This window comes from Homo sapiens, chromosome 7, assembly GCF_000001405.40.
Source record: "Homo sapiens chromosome 7, GRCh38.p14 Primary Assembly".
Classification (NCBI taxonomy): domain Eukaryota; kingdom Metazoa; phylum Chordata; class Mammalia; order Primates; family Hominidae; genus Homo; species Homo sapiens.
The window spans coordinates 97,387,021-97,411,397 of NC_000007.14; the positions used below are offsets into that span (position 1 = coordinate 97,387,021).

Here is a 24,377-nt window from a genome sequence, read left to right on the forward strand (position 1 = left end):
TTATACCCATATGGACATATGTCCAAATGATTTTTTGAGCTTTAATTTCTAAATGGTAAACATAGCATATAAACACATTTATTATTAAAAAGTCAAAAGCACACATACCTATGAGGCAGAGTATGGGTTTATACTTTTTCATTTTTAATTTTTAAAATAATTTTTGCATGGGAAACACACATGGTTCAAAATTAAGGGCTTACAGATAAAATGAAGTCTCTTCTCCATTCCCAGCAATTCAGTACCCCCCTCTGGAGGCAAATCCTCTCACCAGTTTGTGTATTTGTGGTATTTATTCTTCCCATTATACTCCATGCAGTTACTGACATACACATGTTAATAATGCTAAACTACCATTGTTTATGTCCAAAATGCCAAGGACTTTATATATATTATTTCATTTATTCCTCACATCAGATTTGGGGATTAGAAAATATCCGAGTTAAATATTTAAGAAAGATACAAATTATTTAAGAATTATATGCAATTATAAAACATGAAATATATGAAATTTTATAGGCCAAAAGTAGTCAAATATTAGCAAGTCATATGGTGAGACCTTATATTAGGTTAGTGGGAGATTTTCACTTTCTGCAGCAAGATAGAATATATAGCTTGAGAACTTTTCTGCTATAAAACACCTCGAACTGCATAGCTGAGTTTGCAAGAAAGAAAGGGAAATTCCTGGGAGGCAAGCACAAATTGGGAAATGAAATTTGCCAGAAATCCTTGAAGAACGTTAAAATTGAATGTCCTTAACAGATCAAGAAATAAGGCCCTGGGCTCAAAGGGCCTGGACAAGAAGTAGAATGGAAACCTTCATAAAAAATAGGGGCCTTTGGATAACTATACCCTCAGTAAAGGGGAAGTCTAGAGTAAAAATCTGCCCTTCAGCACTGATAGGCAACAAAGAAATTTGTCCTTCTTGGCCTCAGCTCCATGGGTAGGGAGCAAAATGGGTTTCCTGAGAGTTCTTTACCCCAGGGGTAGTTTTTCCTAGAGTTTGAGATTCATACGTATGCTTCCCACATAGAAAAGGAAATTACAGCTACAAAAGTTGCATAAAAGGCCAGTCAGAATGGCTATTATTTATTTAAAAGTCAAAAAATAACAGATGCTGGTGAGGATACAGAGAAAAAGGACTGCTTATACACTATTGGTGGGAATGCAAATTAGCTCAGCCCCTGTGGTAAGCAGTTTGGAGATTTCTCAAAGAACTAGAAATAGAACTACCGTTCAACCCAGAAATCCCATTACTAGGTGTATAACCAAAGGAATATGAATGATTCTACCAAAAAGACACATGCACTCCTATGTTCATTGCAGCACTATTCACGATAGCAGACATGGAATCAACCTAGGTGCCCAGCAATGGTGGATTGGATAAAGAAAATGTGGTACATATACACCATGGAATGCTATACAGCCATGAAAAAAGAATGAGATCATGTCCTTGGCTACAGTGTGGATGCAGCTGGAGGCTGTTATCCTAAGTAAACTAACAGAAACAGAAAACCAAATATTGCATGTTCTTACTTATAAATGGGAGCTAAATCTTGGGTTCACACAGACGTAAAGACAAGAACAGTAGACACTGGGGACTGCAAAAGGAGGGAGGGAGAGGGGCAAGGACTGAAAAACTATCTGTTGGGTACTATGTTCACTATCTGGGTGACAGGATCAATAGAAGCCCAAACCTGAGCACCATGCAATACACCCTTGTAACAAACCTGCACATGTGTACCCTGAATCTCAAATGAAAATCAAAAAATTCAAAAAAACAGTTGTGTAAAAGGGGCTTGGGGCTAAGAAAATACTTGATTCATCTGTCAGAAGCAAACACAAAATCACCTTTGAGAGAAACCTCTTCAACCCAGTCCAGAAAAGATTCCCTAGGATAAAACTTGACTTATCATGAAATGAATAAAAACATAAGAAAAGTAACAAAGACACTATGAAAAAAACTAAGATTTAAAACAACAAACAGAACTTACTTAAAATAAATGATCATTGCAATAAAAAGTCTCAATGGGAATGTCAAACAGCATGTTATACACGACTGAACAGAAAATGATTGAAATGAAAGATGGAATTGAGGAAAGATAAAGATAGGGAAAATATAAAAGAGAAAGTAAGGTGCATGGAGTATATAAAGAGAGGGTTCAATTTGCGTTGAAAATGAACTGTAGGTGAAAAGAATAGCCAATATATAAAGAAATAATGGCTGAGAATGTCCAGAACAGATAAAAGACAAAAATCTTCATGCTTAGAAAATATGAGTCCCAAGCAGGATAAAAACCTACATAACTCATAGAAAAACTGCTGAAGATTAAGGCCAAAGATCCTTAGAATAGCTAGAAAAATTTAAAGAGAAAATTTGTAATTTGGTGGAGATTACAATTCCAGGAACCAGAAAAAATGGGTTTGTACTCACATCTCTCAGACTCCAAAGCTCATTTACCCTGCAGTTGCTCTATTCTGCTCCCTAGTGTACTTAATTTCTGACTTTTCATCTACTGCTGAGTTATTCTAAGCATATATGAAATGCCCTTGGAAATATTTTTTTCTGTTCTAAACCACTGCTTTTAGTTTTTATTCTCTGCTTCTTAAACTTTAAACGTGTTGTTTATTTATTTATTTATTTATTATTATTATTACTTTTCTTGAGGTGGAGTCTCTGTCTTTCAGCCAGGTTGTAGTACAATGGTGCGATCTTGGCTCACTGCAACCACCGCCTCCTGGGTTCAAGTGATTCTCTTGCCTCGGCCTCCCGAGTAGCTGGGACTACAGGTGCATGCCACCACACCTGGCTAATTTTTGTATTTTTAGTAGAGATGGGGTTTTGCCATGTTGGCCAGGCTAGTCTCAAACTCCTGACCTCAGGTGATCCACCTGCCTTGGTCTCCCAAAGTGCTAGGATTACAAGAGTCAGCCACTGCACCCGGCCTAAGCATGTTATTTATTCATTTAACAAATATTTATTGAGCAACTACTGCGTGCAAGGCATTGTTCTAGGATAAAAAACAAAAACCTGTATAAAGCAAAATAAAGATTGGGAAACACCAGTTTTAATATTGGGCTGCACTGATAGAGGTCTAAACTCAAACCTGTTACAGGTAGTTATTTAGGCACGAGCGGGACAGGAGAGGACTCTCTCCCACCCACTAGGAATGTCAGGTGATGGTTCAGCAATTACCACATTGCCTTCCTAAAAGAGATAATTGACAGTTGGCACCAGGGAGGGCCATTTCCTGATGATTCACACCTATTAACATCAAAATGTTAGCTGAATGCAGACCCTATGGAGAAGAAATTTCCTGGGCAGGTACGTTAAGAGACAAAATGGCAAAGTATGACGTTCCGGGGGTACTTTCCACCGGAAAAGGGAAGAAAACCTCAGATAGGCATGTGTACAACTTCCTAAACACCCCATGCATGCTCAGTTCCTAAGTGTAAGGAGGGCACTGCGTATGTGGGAGGCCCACCTAAAGGAAGAATCATGGCAAAGAGCTGAACCTATAAAGTCCCAGGTGTTTTTTGTTTTGTTTTGAGATGGAGTTTCACTCTGTCACACAGGCTGGAGTTCAGTGGCCCAATCTCTGCTCACTGCAACCTCTGCCTCCCAGGTTCAAGAGATTCTCCTGCCTCAGCCTCCTGAGTAGCTGGGATTACAGGCGCCCACCACCATGCCCAGCTATTTTTTTTTTTTTTTTTGTATTTTTAGTTGAAATGGGGTTTCACCATGTTGGCCAGGCTGGTCACGAACTCCTGACCTCAAAGTGTCGGGATTATAGGCATGAGCCACCGTGCCCAGCCTGGGATCAAGTTTAAATGTTCTCTTTTCTCTCTTGGACTGTGGCACCCACTTGGATATCTTCCAAGTGAACTGTCTTTTTTTTCCTTTTCTAAAGGCTTTTAAAATAAAGTTCCACTCCTGCTCTGAAACTTGCCCTCAGTCTCTTTCTGCTTTATGCCCCTCAGTCGAATACTTTCTTCTGAGAAGGCAGGGACTGAAGTTGCTGTGAACCTGTATGGATATGCCACTGGTAACGTGGATTCCTGCCACTGCTAACAAACCCAGCCTGATAAGTTTTTGTTTGTTTGTTTGTTTGCTTGCTTTTGTAGACAGCCTCATTCTGTTCGCCAGGCTGGAGTGCAGTGGTGCTGAAACCAACCCAACAGTCCCATAGACAGTGTTTTTTCGGATAAACATAGAAATTGACTCTCTTCTGGGCTTAAAGCTTGAAACTTACATATGTTTTATCTGAGTTCCTTCCTCAGGAAAGGACCCTCAGGATTCTCAAAAAGTATCAAAGAACTAAAACTCACTGGGTAATGGCATCCAGACAATGAGATACCAGGCCTCTTACTCATCATGATTGCTTCCTTACCCCTCCCAAGTTCCTGATTTTTTCACAAATAGTTACATTTCTTCCCTGTTATATAAACCACTGATTTCAGTTGGTTAGGGAGATGGATTTGAGACTTATCTTCCATCTCCTTCACTGCAGCACCTGATTTAAAGCTTTCTTCCTTGGCAATACTCATTGTCTCAGTAATTGGCTTTCTGTGCAGCAAGCAGCAGGACTTAGACCGAACCCCTAATGTTTTGGTAACAGTGCCATCATGGCTTACTTGTAGCCTCAACCTCCTGGGCTCAAGCATTCCTCCTGCCTCAGCTTCCCGAGTAGCTGGGACTACTAGTAGCATGTGCCACCACATCTGGCTAATTTTTGTACTTTTGCGGAGACTATGTTGCCAAGACTGGTCTCCAACTCCTGAACTCAAGTGATCCTCCCACCTCAGCCTCCCAAAGTGCTGGAATTACAGGCATGGGCCAGTGTAACCTGCCGAAAAATCTTATTTTTGCTGGGGAGGCGGAAGATATCAAGCTGGGTGAACACTTGACTTTTTAGTTTGGTAAGATGTGCTTTAATTACTTAGTTTATTTGGTGAAAACTGTTTCTCTTCTCTTCCTACATTTTTATCATATAACAGGAATCCCTAGTTTATTCTGCAAAGATACTGGATGTTCTATTCCCATCTCTGTGCCTCTCAATCATTTTGCTTTGGTAGTATCAAAACAAAAACAAAAATAAACAAAAAAAGAAATAGGCTTAACCAAGATTTCAGAGGATAACCATCTAATTTGATCTTTAGCCACATTCTACTTAGTCAAAAAACAGTGATTCTACCTACCCTTTAAAATATATTCCATGTATATATTACCTTGCATTTGTATAAGTATATGTATCTTTAAACACTTTCATATGCATCATCTTAAAATTCATACATATGGACATGTTTGTCAGAAATAAAATTTAAAAATAATTTGATGAAAAACATACAATTTAGACTTTTAGGGGGTAATTAAAAATATATATAATTTTGTAACACAACGAAACAGTACAAATTATTGGACAATAGGAAAAATATTAATCTATTAGTTTCTTTATAAAAGCCAAACAAGTACCTAACATAAAGGTAAATTGTTTCAAATTGAATTTTATAAAACATTTTATTGTGTTGAAGGATGACAGAATCTACCAACTCCAAATATGCTACTTTGGCATAAGTATTATTTTGAGAGCTAAAGGCACTTGAAAGACAGCAGCTGCAAGAGGGGTGCTCTGACCTTTCCTTCTCTTTCTGAAAGCAAGAAATAAAACTCCCATCTTAGAGATGCCCTCTCTATTCCAAGAGGAAACATTCTTATCACCACGGTGAGGCCAAAAGAATTCTGTACAAACAGACCTTGTTAAAATAACTCTTTTCCTCAAGACAGAGCCCAAAGCCTCTGCCTCACAGGCTCATGCCATCGTCTCACCTCAGCCTCTTAAGTAGCTGAGACTACAGGCACACACCACCATGCCTGGCTAATTTTTTCCATTTTTAGTAGAGATAGGGTTTCACCATGTTGCCCAGGCTGGTCTCAAACTCCTGGGCTCAAGCAATCTGCCTGCCTCAGCCTCCCAAAGTGCTGGGATAACAGGTGTGAGCCACTGTGCCCAACTTGAAATAGCTATCTTCTTTTGGTCTCCTCATACATTTTAGTTATGAAACTGGCCCAATTGCCCCATAGAACTGATGTCTATGGTTTCTTTTGAATTAACATAGGAATGGACCCTCCAGTCTTAAAACTTGAGAAAGTTACATTTATCTTATCTGAGTTCCTCTCTCAGGAAATCAACCATCAGGCTTTCGAGATAGTATTAAGGAATTGAAACTTAACAGATAACCCAATCTGGACAATGAGGCCTATCATTATTGCCTAACTGACCACCTGCTTCCTGTTGAACAACTTCTCTTCCTTATCCCTCCCTAATTCCTATTTTCTCACACATGGTTGCATTTCTTCCCTGCTATATAAATCCCTAATTTTAGTCCCTCGAGGAGATGAATTGGAGACTGATCTTGTATCTCCTTGGGTGCAACACCCGAATAAATACTTTTTCTCTGGCAATACTCATCGTCTCAGTGATTAGGTTTCTGTGTGGTAACAGGGCCTAGACTGAACCTCTGGTGTCTCAATTACAGTTATTTTTCCACAATTGCTTCTCTTCATTCTACCCAGCACATAAGCACTTAGGTTTTGCCACATCTTTGGGTCTTTATTTTTCTATTGGGCTCCCAGGTATGTAATAAAAATCTATAAGCTTTTTTCTTGTTAATCTATGTTAATTTAATTCTCAGGGCTACCTGGAGACCAGAAGAGGGTAGAAGAAAAGTTTTGCCTCCCCTACAATGTAAATAAAGGCATAAAATAACATAAAAGGAACATCTTGTGCTTGCCAGCCAGCTTAAGAAATAGAACTACCAATATGTTTGAAGACTCCTGTGTGCTCCTTCATGATGATCTCTCTCTCTCTCCTTTCCAGAGGCAGCCACTATCCTGAATTTTGTGATAATCTCTCCATTCCTTTTCTTTATATTTTAATCACATACATGTGTCTCTTAAACAACATATTTAGACTTTCCTATTTTTGAGCTTGAGATGAACAAAACTATACTTCTGTATTTTTTCTTAGTTTGCTTTTTGAGTTCAAAATTATTTTTCCTGAGATTCAATCATGCTGGTGCATATAGCTGTAGTTCATTCACCTTCACTACTGTATCATCTTTAATTGTATGATTATATTACAATTTTTAAAACCTATTCTACTTTCATAGACAATTGGGCTGTTTTCTAGTGTTTGTTCCTATCATAAACAATGCTAGTATGAACATTCTCATACATGTTTCCTGATGCACATGTGCAAAGATCTCTCTAGGATATATTCCCTGAAGTGGAACTGCTTGGACAAGGGTTATAGGCATGTTCACCTTCATTGGTAGATATACATTTATTTCCCAAGATGTTTGTGCCAATTTATTATTTATTTATTTTTGAGATGGAGTCTCGCTCTGTTGGCCCAGGTTGGAGTGCAGTGGCATGATCTCGGCTCACTACAAGCTCCACCTCCCAGGTTCACACCGTTTTCCTGCCTCAGCCTCTTGAGTAGCTGGGACTACACCGCACCTACCTGCCACCACACCTGGCTAATTTTTTGTATTTTTAGTAGAGAAGGGGTTTCACGGTGTTAGCCAGGATGGTCTCGATCTCCTGACCTCATGATCCGCCTGCCTTGGCCTCCCAAAGTGCTGGGATTATAGGTGTGAGCCACCATGCCTGGCCTGTGCCAATTTAAACTCTTATTTGCTTTGAGAAATTCTATTGCTGCATGTCCTTCCCATTACTTGGTTTTGTCAGGCTTTAATTTTTTTTTTTTCCAGTCTGGTGGCTGTGAATTGGTATATCATTGAAATTCATATGTTCACTCATACTAATGATGTGGAGAATCATTGGCTATTTACTGGCTCTCCATGCTACTCATGAGACATGAGTATTCAATAAAAAAAAATTTGATTCTTTGTATTGGCCTACTGATACACAACATTTTTATATATTACAAAACTAGTTTTTTATGTTTTATTTTACAGGAATCACAAAAATATTTTCCCAAGTTTGTAGTTTAACACTCTTTATGGGGTCTTTTAGTGAATAGTTATTAATTACAATAAGATTAAATTTCTTAATATTTTATTATAGTTTACATTATTTATTTATGAGATCCCTAAGGAGACAGAAGCCTTTCACTTATATTTTCTTCTAAAGTTTTTAATGTTTTGCCTTTCACATTTGAAACAATATATCAGAAATTGATTTTTGTGTAAGGTATGAACTAAAGGTCAATTTTCCATTTTTTTCCTTATAGATGAACAATTATACTAGAACCATTTATAGAATAATCCATTCTTTCCTACTAATTCTGAGTTCTGTTGTGCCATTATTCAAGTTTTTAATATGTAAATAGGTAATTTTCTTGTTTTTCCATTTCGTTTCATTGCCCTATTTATCTCTGCACCAATTACAAAATTTTATTATTACTTTTTTAGGGTAATAAAATTCTTCTTGTTTCTTCATCTTTAGGATTACTTTAGCTCTTGGCTTTTCCAACAGGTTTTTGAATCTAGGATTTTTATTTGTTTAAATCTGTAATTCCAATGAATATGCAGATTTGAAGAAACACATCTTTATATTAACCTTTCCAATATGTTAACATAACATATAAGTCTATCGATTTAGATATTCTTTAATGTCTTTGGATCCAATTTTATTACTTTATTTATTTATTTATTTTGAGATGGAGTCTCGCTCTGTTGCCCAGGCTGGAGTGCGGTGGCATGATCTCAGCTCACAGCAACCTCCACCTCCCAGGTTCAAGTGATTCTCCTGCCTCAGCCTCCCAAGTAGCTGGGATTACAGGTGCATGCCACCACACCCAGCTAAGTTTTGTATTTTTAGTAGAGACGGGGTTTTGCCACGTTCACCAGGCTGGTCTCAAACTCCTGAACTCAAGTGATCCGCCCTCCTCAGCCTTCCAAAGTACTGGGATTATAGGTTTGAGCCACTGTGCCCAGCTTTTATTATTCTCTTTATAGAGGGCTTACATATCTTTTGATATGTGTATTCCTAAGTACCATCTATTTTTAGTTGTTTTTGTAAATAGTAGTACCTTTTACAAGTTTTTTTTAATTTTCTGTTTGTTGCTGGAATCAAGAAATGCAGTTAGCTTTTGTGCATTAATCATATATTGTACCATCTTGACAAATTCCCGTAATTCCTATAATTTGCATAACCCTTTGTATTGTTCATATAGATGGTAATTTTCTCTGTGAATGACAGCTTTTTCCCTTCTTTTTCTATTCTTATACCATTTTCTCTTTGCTAAATTATTTAAGACTTTCAGTATAATGTTGAATACTAGTGATGATAGTAAGTATGCTTGCGCTGTTCCTTACGTTAAAGAATGCTTTTAGCATTTTGCTACTTAATATGTGTTCTCTTTCTATATACAGTTGTCCCTTGGTATCCTTTGAGGATTGATTCCAGAACACCCCACAGATAACAAAATCTATACATTCTCAAGTTCCTGATATAAAAGGGTGTAATATTTACATAATCTATGCACATCCTCCCATATACTTTAAGTCATCTCTAGATTATCTAGAATATCTAATACAATGTAAAGGCTACGTAAATAGTTGTTACACTGTATTGTTTAGGGAATAATGACAAGGAAAAAAGTTTGTACGTGTTCAGTAGAGACACTTTTTTTTTCCAAATATTTTTGATCCACAATTGGTTGAATCCATGGATGAGAAACTCACAGATATCAAGGGCTGACTATATATTGATGAATTTGTTTTGTTTGGATTTGACTATACACTTTCTTTTTCTCTTGTGGTTTTAGTATTAAGTTTACTCATAAAACAATAATTATTTCTCCTTTGTATATTTCTTTAAGGAGTTTATAGAAAAATTGAATGATCCTTTACTTGACTTAGTAGAACTTTCCTATAATTCCATCTGAGCCTGGTGATTTGTGTGAAAAGAACTGACTTCCAGGTTAGTTTCTTTTAATGGCTATAGACTATTTAGATTTTCAACTTATTCTTGAGTTTATTTTAGTGATTTGACCATATTACATGCTTATAATGTTGGTATACAGTTCTTCATAATACCCTCTGCTTGTTTTCTGCAGTGTCTGTAGTTATGTTCTTCATCTTTTCCCCAATTTTTAATTTATGGTTTTGTCCTTTTTACATTTTCTTGTCAATTTGTCAATATTCTCAGTCTTTTTGAAGAACTGTATTTTGGCTTTATATTATTCTATTGACTATTTTCTATTTCACTAATTTTTAGTTTTGTCTCTTAATTCTACACATCTAATTTCTTTAAATTTATTGTTTTTCTCTTTCTAACTTCTTAAAGTTGGATATTTAGCTCATGTATTTTTAGATTATTTTTCTTTTCTGATACAAGTAATCAAGGCTATCACACTGTTTTCTCCTAGCCTCCAAACCACCCTTCTCTCATTTGCTTTGTGATGCTGAGACAGACACTCTTCAAATCACATTTTTCCTTTCTACCTAGTTCCCTGTTAGCTTCTTCCAGTAGCCACTAAATGGAGATGAGGAGACTGGAGAGAAGGAAAGGAAACTGCTCCTGCCAGTTTTGCTTCCTGTTTCTGTAAGTGGCATTTCTGCAATGTTTTTCACTTTGGCAGCAGCATTTGGTTCCAGTTTCTTCTATAGTCTCAGAATTAGCCTCACTGTGTCCCCTCAGAGATACCAACATCAGCTGGCTGGAAGCAGGACTGCTTCCTCTGAACTCCCAAATACCAGCACCAGCTGGACAATACCTTCTTACCAGAGGTCTGGGTCCCACCTCTGCAGAGTCCTGCTCCAAGCTGTTAAATTGGGAGAACCCCCACTCTTCCTTTTCACATTCAGCTCCAGGAGTAGCAGATGCTGCCTGCAACTAGCATCCCTGGGTCACCTCAGAGGTCTCCTTCTGCTCTTTCAGTTGTCCTAAAGCCTCTTTAAACAATTCCTGATGTTAAAATTTTCTGCTTCCTTGAATGGACCCTGACTGATACAGTTATAGGCTATTTGGATTTACTATTTCCTCATAGGTCAGTTTTAGTGACTTGTATCATTCTAGGTCTTGGACCATTCCACCTGTTTCAAATTTATTTCCTTATAGTTGTTCACAGTAGCTTCTGCATGATTTCTGCAGCCTAGGTACTTACAGCACCTTTTTCATTTTTAGACTTCTTTTCTAAAGTGGTAAAACATTCCCTTAATACAAAGACGCTTTAGTTGGATCCTGCAAGTTTTTATATATAATTCCTTCATTTAGATTTGTGGTTCTAACTATTTTATATTTCCATTGTAGTTTCTTCTTTTAACCATGGGTAATTAAGGCATATGTTTAAATTCCAAGTGTAGATTTGAAATATGTAGATTTTTAAAGATACCTTTCTGGTAATTATTATCTAATTCAATTTTTGGGAAGTCCAATATTAAGACATGTATGATACAGGTTTTTGAAATTAGGTGACATTTCTTTAAGTACAGTTCATAATGTATTCTTTAAAAACATTCCATGTATGCTTGAAAAGAATGTGTACTCTCAAACAGGGAGTACAGCATTCTATATATGTACACTAGAATAAGGTTTTAAATTGTGCTGTTCAAATCCTCATCCTTTGTGATTTCTCCTTGCCTACGCTTTAAGTCAGTTACTGAAATATGTCTGATATAATCTCTCACCATGCTGGTGCATTCATTTCATCCTTTTAATTTTGTCAAATTTTGCTCTGTGTATTTTAAGCTATGTCATTGGGTATATATGATGTCAGATTATCTCTTCTTGGTGAATTAAAAATTTCATATATGTGGGATCCCGTTATTTTCATGCTACCTTTGTCTTAAAGTCTATTTTGTTTGATAGCATTTTGCCTATACCACAATGCTTTGGTTGGTATTTGCCTAAAGCATAATTTCCCATCTTTTCATTCACTACCTTTAAATGTCTATTTTTTTCCACGTATGTTGGAGTGTACAACTAAGTTCAATAATCTAATCTAATAATAAAATAATTTGCAATTTTTGTTTTAGCATTTTTTTGCAATTTAATGTATAGAATGAATTTATTAAATTTAATTAATTGGATTGATACAGTTAAAGAATGTTCTGTTGGCTGAATTCTTTTTACCTTAATAATGTAATATGTAATAATTTTTTGTAGTATTTTAATAATAATATATAATAATTTAAAAATAAAATGTAATAAAGTTGTATCTGAAGACTGAGTTAGGAAAAAGTTCCAAAGGCAAATTCCTGGAACTCTAGAAAAAAAGAATGGTGGCAAGTGTCAACAGAACTGATGTGTAAAATGACAACAGGGAAAACTATACAACTGTACCGCTGTGGAAAATAAAATCATATAATTGAGGAAAACTGTTCTATCACATGTCTTACATTTTAAAACTTGTCAGGAAAAGTTACTTATTTATATATTTTAAAGATATAGTGGCTTTATGTACACCTGTACTTTTCCAAAATACAATGAATATGACCAGTATCTTTACAGACGAAGCTGTGACTAAGCTTGTGCCTGAGGGAAAAACTGAAAATCAGAATGTCTGTTTTTTTCCAACATAGATACATTTTCAACTGGAGATTTAATAAGCTTTCTGCTCCTAGTGACTTACCTCATGATGTATCATGTATATTCCCTTATAATCATGATTTTTTTTTTTTTTTTACTTTTCAGGTTTAGAATAAATCTTCACTATTTCCTACCCAATGGCAAACACTTAAGGGAACTCACTGAAGTTTGGATGACTGATGAAGTATATAACAAACCCTGACTTTCCCAATATCCTAGCCCTACATAATGCTTTTTGGTGAAGGTTAAATGAAAAAATTTAAGGCAACAGTATTTGTACTGTGACCATTCCAGGAAGATAGCTCCCTGATTTTAAAAATTCAAAATGGGATATATACTTGAACTAACACATACACTACAATAGCCTTGCTGTAGTTTCATCATAGTTATCAAAACCCACAAATATGTTTTGCCTGGGTAACACGAAGTAGGAGAAATAACCCCTAAATCCTTCATATGCTTAACTCTTACTTGGACATTGTTGCCAATTAATTATGAAGGAGTTTATTTTTTATTTGTAAATAGAATGTATGAGGAAAAGGAAGGAAAGTTTACTTTATACCCACAGGAAAATCAGGCCCAAAGACATATACAGCACGACCAGAAGAGGTAAGGCACAGTTGTCTGAAGGATAATAGAACAGGTTTTTGTTAACTCACTATGTCCAGGCCAAAACCTTCCAACCATGATTATATTATAAGAAACTAGTGGCTGGGGACGGTGGCTCACTCCTGTAATTCCAGCACTTTGGGAGTCCGAGCTGGGCTGATCACAAGGTCAGGAGTTCGAGACCAGCCTGGCCAACATGGTGAAACCCCGTCTCTAGTAAAAACACAACAAAATTAGCCAGGCACAGTGGCACGTGCCTATAATCCCAGCTACTTGGGAGGCTGAGGCAGGAGAATCGCTTGAACCTGGGAGGTGGATGGAGGTTGCAGTGAGCCAAGATCATGCCACTGCACTCCAGTCTGGGTGACAGAGCGAGACTCCGTCTCAAAAAAAAAAAAAGAAACTAGTGAACATTTTTGCTACATTAAAAGTGCTGTTTCCTAAACGAGAGAACACAAACAAAGCCCAAAATATTTCTTTATTTTTACTTAGTTATTTATTTATTTTGAGACGGAGTCTCGCTCTGTCGCCCAGGCTGGAATGCAGTGGCGTGATCTCAGCTCACTGCAAGCTCCGCCTGGTGAAAACCCAAAATATTTCTAAAATGCACATGTTTTCTGACACTTCAGCTAACTCACAATGACTTGGCAACAATTTGAGTTACTAGTAGAAATCTCAATGGCTTTAAACTTTGAGTTTCTGGGATATTTTATCAGTGTAGCATGAAAAAATATATTAAATATATGCATTTAAGTAGTAATCTATTTTAACTCTGTATGTATAGTTTAAAAAAATAGCTATCCTAAGAATGGTTTTGTTTATTGTTCCACATATTTAAAACGTTGTATCTTATGCTTTTTTGTTTACTATGAATCTCTAGGTTCACATGGAGGATATCTAAAAGCTGTAATCTGTGGTCTTGAATTTACATGTTCCCAGTATTTACATCCTGATTCTTTTAAAACCTTGTTCACATTATGTGGGTATCCACAGGAGGTTTTAGGAGAAACTCAACTGGGATTATATATATGCTGAAAAAGATGCCACTGAAGATCAAGTTTAACTTTTTTCTGAGGTATGCTTCCCATGACTTTGGTTGTGTGCCTATCCTAGACATTAAACATTTAGCCACTGATTTGTGGACCATGATAGTTTGCTACAGATCAACCTGGCACACAAACAGAGGTTGGAGCATGATCCACTTTGAATAAAGGAGCTTTGCAGGCCGTTGGTTCAGGAGACCCCCTTATGGCTTGAATAAGGGGCTAAACACACCTTCTGACATTCGTCAAATAATTATGGGCTCTTTTTGCCTCTTGTGGGAAACAAATAGGTTTAGAAATTGTGGCTATCATCTACACAGAAAGCCAAAAAAAAATTGGCATCTTTCCCAGAATAAAATCTTTGCATTGATGCAAGAAACGGACATGTAGTGTTGACAAAATTCCTGAGAGAGGTACCTCTGTCTTAGAATTATGTTGTCTTTCAGTGTGCAGCCAGAGACCTCCCTAGTGAACCCAGTTAACCGAGGTAATATGGTGGACTGTTCCCAGGGCCGTGCCTCCCCACCAGAGGGAAGTGTTATGGTGCCTCTTTCTGACTCTCATTCCCAGTCTCTGAGCCCAGAGCTGTTGAGACATGTGAAAGAAAGAAAACCCCACAAAGAGCTAAAAACAATGAGGAAACCTGAAAGTGTTTCAACATTATTTTGAAGTGAGAATGAAGGGCAGCAGAAAAATCCTCCCATCTCTGTCAGTTTCTACAACCTCACTGACTAGTTTCCAAAGACCCAAATTCCTTCTAGAGAAGGAAGTCAACCAGGATTTGGTCAAAGCCTGAAACAGGAATGTCTACTTTCCCCAGTGGTGAACTTCTTGAAGTATCTAATTCACCTTTACGTCTCTGCAGTGCCTAGTGCAGTATCTTGCTCAGCAAATACTTGGAGGGAGGGAGAGGAGGGTAAAATGCTCTTTCCTTTTCCTTCATCCGCACAGTGAAAACCTTATTTGTGGTATTATCTTAAATCCAAAGAGCAAGGCAGAAGGGCTTGTCTACCTTATGGAAATGGTAGAAAGACCAACTCTCATCGAGAGTCATGGAGAAACGCAGAGGGGTATTTATTAATTTCCAGGTGACTAGCTTAAGTCCTTTGTTGATTTTTAAAACAACCAAATGCTTCTGAGATTTTGTAACTCAAATGAGTTTCAGAACCTTGCCAGTAAATTTCAAAGAATGCACTTATTTGGCTTTTTATCCTCAGAGAAAACAAGAATAGATATCACGCAGGAGCCTTTCACTGCAAATTTTATTGTTAAGCAATAATTTGATAACAACAAAGAATTTTCCTCTAACCTGACTCACATTATTGGAACACTAGAGGAATGTATTCATATGATCACCTGAAGCAGTCAATAGATATTTTTTAAAATTGTATCATAATGAAGAGAAAAGGTCCCACTACTATTTAAATGCTAACAATCACAAGGCTTCTAAGTGCAGTAGGGTAACACTCTCCCTGCTCACTCACTCTAGACAAACAGACAATCACGCCAACAGATTTCATCTAATTGTATCTTTGTATTTTATTTCCGATGGAACCAGAGGTTATAAGAACTAATATTTCTTCACCAATGCAGTATCTAAAAGATAGCTACAATTTGGAATAGAGCTCAATAGAGAGATGGAAAACAAGAAAATCCATGGAGAAATATCAGCCTTTGCTGATGTTTGCTATCACTAAAATAGATGTATAATTATGACACTTACTGGAACACAACCTTAAATGGCACACTTGTCAGAGAGGATAAGCATTAGGTGGATGGTGGGAGAGGGCTACCAACATTCTTCCTAATTTCAACTTGTTCTGAAATTTTAGCCCTGTCACTGAACTTGTGTTTTGTAGTTTCTTGGATTTCCTCAATAGACATGTCAGATCCAGACTTACTTTTGTTGCCTCCCCTCAGTCATCCATCTCTGAGTCTTGGTTGAGATGACAAAGTTGGCAACAGAGTGTCAGAATCTCCCCGTGTTCCCTGAATTCTGCAGAGTTGCTCTCCTACTTGCCTCCTTCCACTGCAGGGGACATGTCCTAAGACTGGCTCCTGGCCCAGTGCATAAGCCCCTGGGAAAAGCAGATGCTCACCTCAGGATCATGCTCTCCCTGTTGGGGACATCTAGGTTTCCATCTCAACCTATTACCTCCAAACTTGTCATCTCATTTCTAGATTTTTTTTCATACTGTTTTGGATTCAGTCTGATTTCACCTTTCCCATGAAGCAGGCTGTCCACCAGTGATGCTCTCAAAAGTATCTACATTTCCAGGACATATTTTACATCCTCAAAGCACTCATACTTACTGTCTCACATTACAGAGACATACACACATACCTTAGCTTTAAACCTACTGAAGACAGGTCTTTATTTTCTTAACATTCCCCTATTCTTATTGACTAGCAGATCTCTTAAGCATAGAACTTAAAACTGTTGGGTAAATACTTAGGGATCTTACTTTATGAAATAGACATGTTTAAAAGTAATGCAGATTTCATTTAAAATACACTGTGAACACTAGCTTTTTCATGAGATCCTATTTTGACTTTTTTTTTTTTTTTTTTTTTTTTTTTTGAGATTGGACTTGCTCTCTCGCTCAGGCCGGGGTGCAATGGCACGATCTCTGCTCACTGCAACCTCCACCTCCCAGGTTCCAGTGATTCTCCTGCCTCAGCCTCCCAAGTAGTTGGGATTACAGGCATGCGCCACCATGCCCGGCTAATTTTTTGTATTTTTAGTAGAGACGGGGTTTCAACATGTTGGCCAGTCTGGTCTCGAACTCCTGACCTCATGATCCGCCCCCTCCTTGGCCTCCCAAAGTGCTGGGATTACAGGAGTGAGCCACCACACCTGTCCCATTGACTACTTTTAAACAAAAATTATGCTCTAACGGTTTTCTTAATAAGTTTAGATTTTTATTCAAAGGGTTTCAAGGCAAACTCACAGAGAATTTGCAACCCCCTGGAAGCTAACTAAATACTATAATAACGATTCATGCTGTGCAAAAATTGTGCCAAATGTTTTCTATATCTACAAAAGACTGTCAGTCTTCTGTTTAGCAACAGAAACCACAATGTTTTACCAATCTATATGTATAACTAAGCCATGCAGTTGGTTCTGTATCTTAGTTTTAAAGGTGATACTAATTGAAGAGTTCTGGATTTTTGCTTTGAATTTTATTCAAATTCCTTGGTTTATAATGACCTAAGCATCTTTCTAGAGTCTAGACTAAAACAGCGTTTTCAACCTTAACACTATCAACATTTTGGACCAGATAATTGCTGCCAGGTGGCGGGTGGCGGGGCTGTACTGTGCATTGTAGGGTGTTTAGCAACACATCTAACCTCTACCCACTAGATGCCAGTAGTACCCACCAATCCTCTGAGTTGGGACACCCAAAAATGTGTTCAGATTCAGGCAAATGTTCCTGGGGAGAAAATTCTATTTTCCTGTGATCTCTGTACCAGCAGCATCACCATAACCTGTTGGTTTATAAAAAATGTAAATTTGATCCCACTTGGACGTAGTGAATCAAAATCACTGGGAGTGGTATTTAGGAAGCTGTCATTTAACAAGCTCTTCAGGTGATTTTGACACATATTGAAGTTTGAGAGCTGCAGAGACCCAAGTCTATTGCAAGACTGGGGAGAATCCCAACATCTAGGTCACACCCTAGACTAATAAATTATAACCACTAGGGGTGGGACACAGGCAACAATAAATTTTGAAGCTTGAGCAGTGGCTCCATGAATTGCCTGGGGACTCTAAAAATGCTCACAACTGGGCCCACTTTCTATTAATTAAACTAGAACCCTTAAGGTAGGATCCAGACATCAAAATTTTTCCCTCCCAAGTACAATGTCGTAAGAACATAATAAGCACTCAGTAAAACCTTTTTTTTCCAAAGCAAAAGCTTATGGAAACATTAAACATTAAAAAACCTCTTCAAAGATAAATATTTATAGGCAAGTACTGAATTCTTATCCTAAGCCAGACAAACCTGTTGGTACCCAGAGTCGTGTTTCTAGCAAATGGAGCTTGCTTACAAATTCTGGAAGCTGTCAATGTGAAATAAGCTATTTTAATATTGCCAGTCACTCAGATAGCCATACACAGAAGGCATGAGATGAAAACATCCTTGCACTGCTGCTGCTTTTCATGGATTAGCTGGGGTGTGTGAAGAATCTGACCGTGGCTCTTCTTTTGGGAGACTCTGAGTGCATTACGCCTACTCCCTATGCACCTGGTTAGTCCTCCTGAGTGCATGCCCTCTAACTCCCTCTGTCCTACCACCAGCTGTTCCCATATCTTGTTTTTTGGAGCTTTTCCTATTTTTATGAACTTTTGGATGCAGAGGATAAGTTGACATTTTGGCAGAGGATCGTGACATACACAGAAATGTCTCTCCATGGTAAATATAGCTCAGTAGGGAAAAGAATCAGCTTGTTCTATGAAGATATTTCTACAGAGCTTGTTGATTTTCTTGATTGCCTGTGCAATGAAGTTTTACACATCCAAAACTGAAAATCAGAATCTATTTATAAAATATTCATAAAAATAAGTATGTTGATGTATGTGTGTGGGTCCTAAAAAATCAATCTAATTGAAACAAAAGGCTAGTTCTAAGAAGAAATCAAGAAGCATCTGTGTCACTTTGTAGTTCTATTTTGGCTTGTTATTATTTTCAGCAGATTCTGTGGTTGTTAAAGAGCTTTGAGTTTATCTGTCAAAGAGGCATGACACAGCCTAATAGAATTGCATATAAGAATCCTGATCCAGAAATTCCTGGTTATGTATCCTTGGAGAGTTAATCTCTCTAAGCCTTAGTTTCCTTATCATTTTCCCAGTGGAGTTGTTATGGGAGACTCCTCCAGCTCCTGCTGGCAATAAACCTCCCACGTTTGACACAGAAACAATAGCCGGTTCAAACAAGAAGCCGTTACATTTCAAATTCTGGAGACTGTTTTCAACATTAATTCAAGTAGGGGGAGATTGGGGTGAGAGATCTTAGTGATCCCAAAGAATCATTATAAGTTATAAAAATAATGACCCATATTGAGACATATTTTTTTCTGAAATCATTTGTGTCATTGTGGTCTTGTATTTGTACAGAAATAAAATTGAGTCTAATTTGTCACCACCCTTTGATTCAGAAAAACCTCAACACCCTCTTCACGAGGGACAGAATCCAAATACTGACAAAGGAGCAGATGCCAAAGAACACATCCCAGTTCAGAGAGCTGTGGATCAGACTGGCCATGAGAGTCATTTACATGGTGTCATGGTGCTTTGCTAAATGTATCTTTTGTTAATTAAATGTTTTAACAACAATAGTCCAGCTTATAGAGTTTATCTTTAGGGACTATTTGGTGGGCTTGATGCTGTATAATGTCTTACATGTTTAGGATTGCAGAAGTCACTTTTAATAAGTAGTTCAAAGCTTGAGTGAACTAAGGATATGAGGCCAACTAGAGAGAGTAGGAGCCTTAATTATATGGCCTAAAGCAGTTGTTTTCAGCAAGTGTGTGGTCTTTAGACAAGCAGAACCAGTAGCCTCTAGGAATTTTGTTTAGAAATGCATATTCTTAGACCCCATGCGAAATCCATAGATCAGAACCTATTGGAGTGGGGCTCAGCCCTCTATGCTTTGATAGGCTCTTCAGATCATTCTGATGTCCACTCAAGTCTGAGAACCACTGCTCTAGTGCTGTGCTTCCTAAATCTGGATGTCCATCAGAATCTCCAGAAGAGCTTGTCAAAAAAAAAAAAAAAAAATCCAGATCAACAAATGATCTCATGCCACTCCTCCAGATTCTGATTCAGTTGGTTTGGGACCAAGACATTTATCTTTTTAAAAGATGCCTCTAAGTGATTGTGTTGATTATCTGGGTTTAGGAACCACTTTATAAACTACCAGATTTCAGTGGCTTACATTTTGGGGGAATAGGGGGAAAAGAAGAAGAAAGAGGGGAAAAAAGGAGAGAGAAGGAGGGAAGGAAAAGTGGGGAAGGAGAGAAAGAGAGGGAAGAAGAGGAAAAGAAAAGGGGGAGGGAGTATGGAAGGGGAAAGAACAGAAGAAGAGAGGATGAAATAGCTTTTCTTTCTTTAAATCAAATACTTCACTGATACACCTATATTTAATAACTAGTTTCAGAATTAAACTTTAAGAATTTACATTAATTGCAAGCTTTTCAACAAAGTCTAGGATAAAAAATGGTTTCCTTTCTCCCAAATTCTTGACTATCACTCATTGTTCAATTTAGCCCTAATTACCTACCAGACTTCATTAGAATATAATTGTCTAACACGCTTGAAATATGTATCTTGGAGTCGGACCCTTAAGGACTTGTCCTTAGCTCTGGAATCTTAGAGTTGGAATTAAAAAATCCTGCCAATAGTTTGGCCTCAGTATTCTCCAATGCCAACTTTTCTCCATTGGAAATACGAGAAGCTGTTCCTCTCTAGTGTTAATTGAAGGCAACGCCCGTCTAGCCCCTCCTCAGCTGAAATCATCTACCATCTTCTCTGACTCCCCTATAATTGACCTCCTTGTGTGCCTAAGAAATTCTATCATGTAAAATGTCTGCAAATGACAGAACCAAAAGCTCTTGCAACACATTTTGAAATATCATAAGAAGAAAAACATTATTTTCCACTCTTAACAAAGTATTACCCTTCTAGTTGTAATTTTAGCTCTGACATTTTATTATGAAATAAAGGTCCCTTTCTAACTCCCTAGACTAGGGGGCTGGTAAACTATGACCTGTTACCTGTTGTTGCACAACCACTGAGCTAAGAAAGGTTTTTACATTTTTAAATGGTTGAAAATGCCAACAAATAATATATTTCATGATACGTGAAAATGATATGAAATTCAAATTTCAGTGTCTATAAGTGAAACATTATTGGAATACAGCCATATTCATTTATTTATTGTCTATGGCAGTTTTTGTGTTACAAAGTACAAAAGCAGAAATATTCAAATGCAACAGAGATCATATGACCCACAAGTTTCAAAAATATTTTCTATGTGGACCTTTACAGAAAAAACATGCCAACACCTGTTCCAGACTCTGAACTGTTGAAGGGAATTGATCCACAGCTATTTATCATAGCCCTAGTTATCTATCCCACCTTGAGTAAGTACCCAACTTCATGTTTTTCATTTTATGGATGCATAATTTGTTTTGCGGTTTTTATAATCCACCTTGCTTCTGAAAGAGCTTCTTCCTTATATCTTATTATATTTTAAACAATATTTAGAATAGCAGCTTTAACAACAATATAAAATAGAGATTTCCAGGATTTGACCCACCTGGTACAAGGGAAAAGTAAGGGGAAGGAAGCCAGGGCTGAAGCTTAATGAGGAGTGGACTTGACTTTTCGCTGGGGCTATTTTCTGCCCTAAAGCAAGGACATCGCTTTTTCTAGCAAAGATTTTTTTTTTTTCTGTCATGAATAAAAATAGCCTTCTTTGTACAAAGCCAAAAATGTTTTTAAAATTACACTTTCAACAGTTTTAACTCATTTTTCATTTCATTGTAAGTTCTTACTTTGTTCCTGCAAAGAATCCAACAGGAACATACTTATCAATCATCTCTTTCAAAGAGAGAGTATTGACATCTGAATTACATCTAAAATAGAGGGAGAGGGGATGAAGGGGAAAGTATGAATCAGTCTTAGAAAAACAACAGTAATTCTAAAGATCTAAAATTACTTGAGAAATAGGGTCATCAAGAAAACATAAAAACCAGCAGCAACCATTTATCAAGATTGTGGCCAGCCAAAGTCTAAAACAAATGAACAAACAAGCAAACAAACATTGTTTCCTAAAAAATTAAAAAAAAAAACATCGGCTGCCTGTGACCAAGATTTTCCTCTTTGTGTTTTTAAAATCATACAGAAAATGAACCAAGAAGTACAGAGTTCACTTTTTAGATTTCTAATAATGATGTGACCTTTGGTTTCAGATCAGTTCTCATAAACATCTATTTTTCATTTTCAACATTACTGGTATCTTCAAACAGTTCTACAATAAAATAATTCACAAGTACATGTAAATGATAGTTCTTTGGCATGTAAAATTGCTAGGCGATGTACTAGTTTTATATGCAAAATTTCATTTTCTTTGCACTATTTTCTTCGTAAATGCCCAGTAGCTTATGAAGGTAATAGAAATCCTCTTCTGCCATCTCAAATTACATGTCACAATCCCAAGAATTAGATGCCAGAGAAAATTGCTACTCAGGAATATTATTTTGATTTTACTTTTAACAGTAAGCATTTCTTTGAATGTAGCCATTCCGTTGTTGATCTCATTTTTAGTGGCAGGGCAAATAAGCATATGTCAAAACATGGTGGAAACTTGTGCTGAGATCTAGATTGAACAAGGAGCAGGTGAAATGTCTACAAATTGTGGATTTTGGAAATGATAAATGCTTCATGGCCTACATGCCAGACAACTTTTAACTGGAGATAAAGCAGCAGGAATAGTTAAAGGAAAACACTACTCTTGTCATTAAAAAAAAAAAAACCAAACCCAAATAGTTAAATGTACTCAGTGGTTAATGTGCAAGGTACTGTGTTAATTTTCTTACATGCTTTATCTTGGTTAATTACCTATCTGATGTCTCTATTTTTGAAATTTTCAACACTTTTGATCCAATGTTCCATCAAACAGCATCTCTTAGTGGGTGCAAATTGGTTAAATAGTTAGGAAGAGCCAAAGGATGCAGCAGTGCCCTTGTCTAGCTCTTCATCCTAATAGTACCCAGTCACCTGGGGGAAGGCAATCTCCAGGACAAGCCCATCGTGCCTCTGATGTCTGTCTAGGTTTTCACACCACAGCACTGCAGAAACAGGGGCAGTCATTTTGCTAGATTTCATGCATTGTTCCCTTCTGAGGATTATGACATCTAGTAATGAATTGGTTAACACTGAGGAGGAATAGGAATGTTGATTTATGGATTTTCTGGAAAAATTGGGAAGTCAGGAAACATAAATTACTTTTTTTTAAACTTTTGTACTCCCTACCCCCAACCCTTGCCCGCAGAAGTTTTAACTTTAAAGCAATGATAAAAATGAGAATTTTAAATTAGGACTTTAGCAATCACTCAAATAGAAAGAGTAAGCTGGTTTCAGAGTTCAGTAGAATTGAGGAAACTTCATATTTATTTTGCTTACTCGAGGATGAGCTCCTGCGGGGAAAGGACCCTAACAATCCCTATATTTATCCATTGCTTACAAGAATAACTAAGCTCATTTTTTAGTATATCCCATGGCTACTGATATAAAGTAAAATCTTACAATAATTTGAAACCTTTTTAATAATGGAGGCATTGGTAATCCTGAATGAAGGGTTTTTAGACTACCTTTCCTCATGTTTGCCTATATTGTTAGGAATTCACCAAGAGGTAAATCACTACAGTCAGAAACCATGGTGAATATCTGCAGACATCAGTTGCCATGAGACATTCCTTGCTTGAAGCCTAAGAGGAGACAAATGTTTAAAATTATTGATTTTTGACTATTATTCATAAATTAGTCTCAAGCTGTCTAGTTTTGACTATTGTCTTTTTATTTTAAAATATTTGATATGTGAGCAATTTTCCCACTACTAAAATGTCATATATTCATGACAGATTTTTTTTTTTTTTTGAGACAGAGTCTTGCGCAGTGGCCCAGGCTGGAGTGCAGTGTCGCAATCTCGGCTCACTGCAAGCTCCGCCTCCCGGGTTCACGCCATTCTCCTGCCTCAGCCTCCCGAGTAGCTGGGACTACAGGCGCCCGCCACCATGCCCGGCAAACTTTTTTGTATTTTCAGTAGAGACGGGGTTTCACCATGTTAGCCAGGATGGTCTCAATCTCCTGACCATGATCCGCCCGTCCCGGCCTCCCCAAGTGCTGGGATTACAGGCGTGAGCCACCGTGCCCGGCCTCCATGACAGATATTTTAATGAAAGAGCCTAAATAAAATGTATGTCCAATGTTCTAAAAAATTACATGACTGTTGTTTGAAGTCAGCTGTGAACCAACACTAATTAGTCTATTTCTTTATAAAACAGAGCTAATCATTACAGAGTAAAAACTACAATATACAGACCAGATATCTTTGGAAGATGAAACAAATCTATAATATCAAGGCAATAAAAAAACCCAA

At 37.3% G+C, this 24,377-nt stretch overlaps 1 long non-coding RNA gene across 1 annotated transcript in view, besides 2 other annotated features; it reads right to left on the reverse strand.

Annotated features, from left to right (window-relative positions):
• LOC105375416 (uncharacterized) overlaps positions 1-24,377 on the reverse strand; it is a 237,202-nt gene that overhangs the window by 58,491 nt on the left and 154,334 nt on the right. The gene's annotated exons all lie outside the window — the stretch shown is intronic.
• Positions 10,242-10,742: an enhancer, noted in NCBI's record as "H3K4me1 hESC enhancer chr7:97026574-97027074 (GRCh37/hg19 assembly coordinates)". NCBI's record gives its function as "activates a minimal SCP1, AML or CMV promoter by ChIP-STARR-seq in primed H9 embryonic stem cells {active_cell/tissue: H9 hESC(primed)}" and the evidence as "EXISTENCE:reporter gene assay evidence [ECO:0000049][PMID:30033119]".
• Positions 13,371-14,570: an enhancer, noted in NCBI's record as "MED14-independent group 3 enhancer chr7:97029703-97030902 (GRCh37/hg19 assembly coordinates)". NCBI's record gives its function as "activates an origin of replication core promoter dependent on BRD2, BRD4, P300/CBP and CDK7 cofactors, and independent of MED14, by STARR-seq in HCT116 cells {active_cell/tissue: HCT116}" and the evidence as "EXISTENCE:reporter gene assay evidence [ECO:0000049][PMID:35650434]".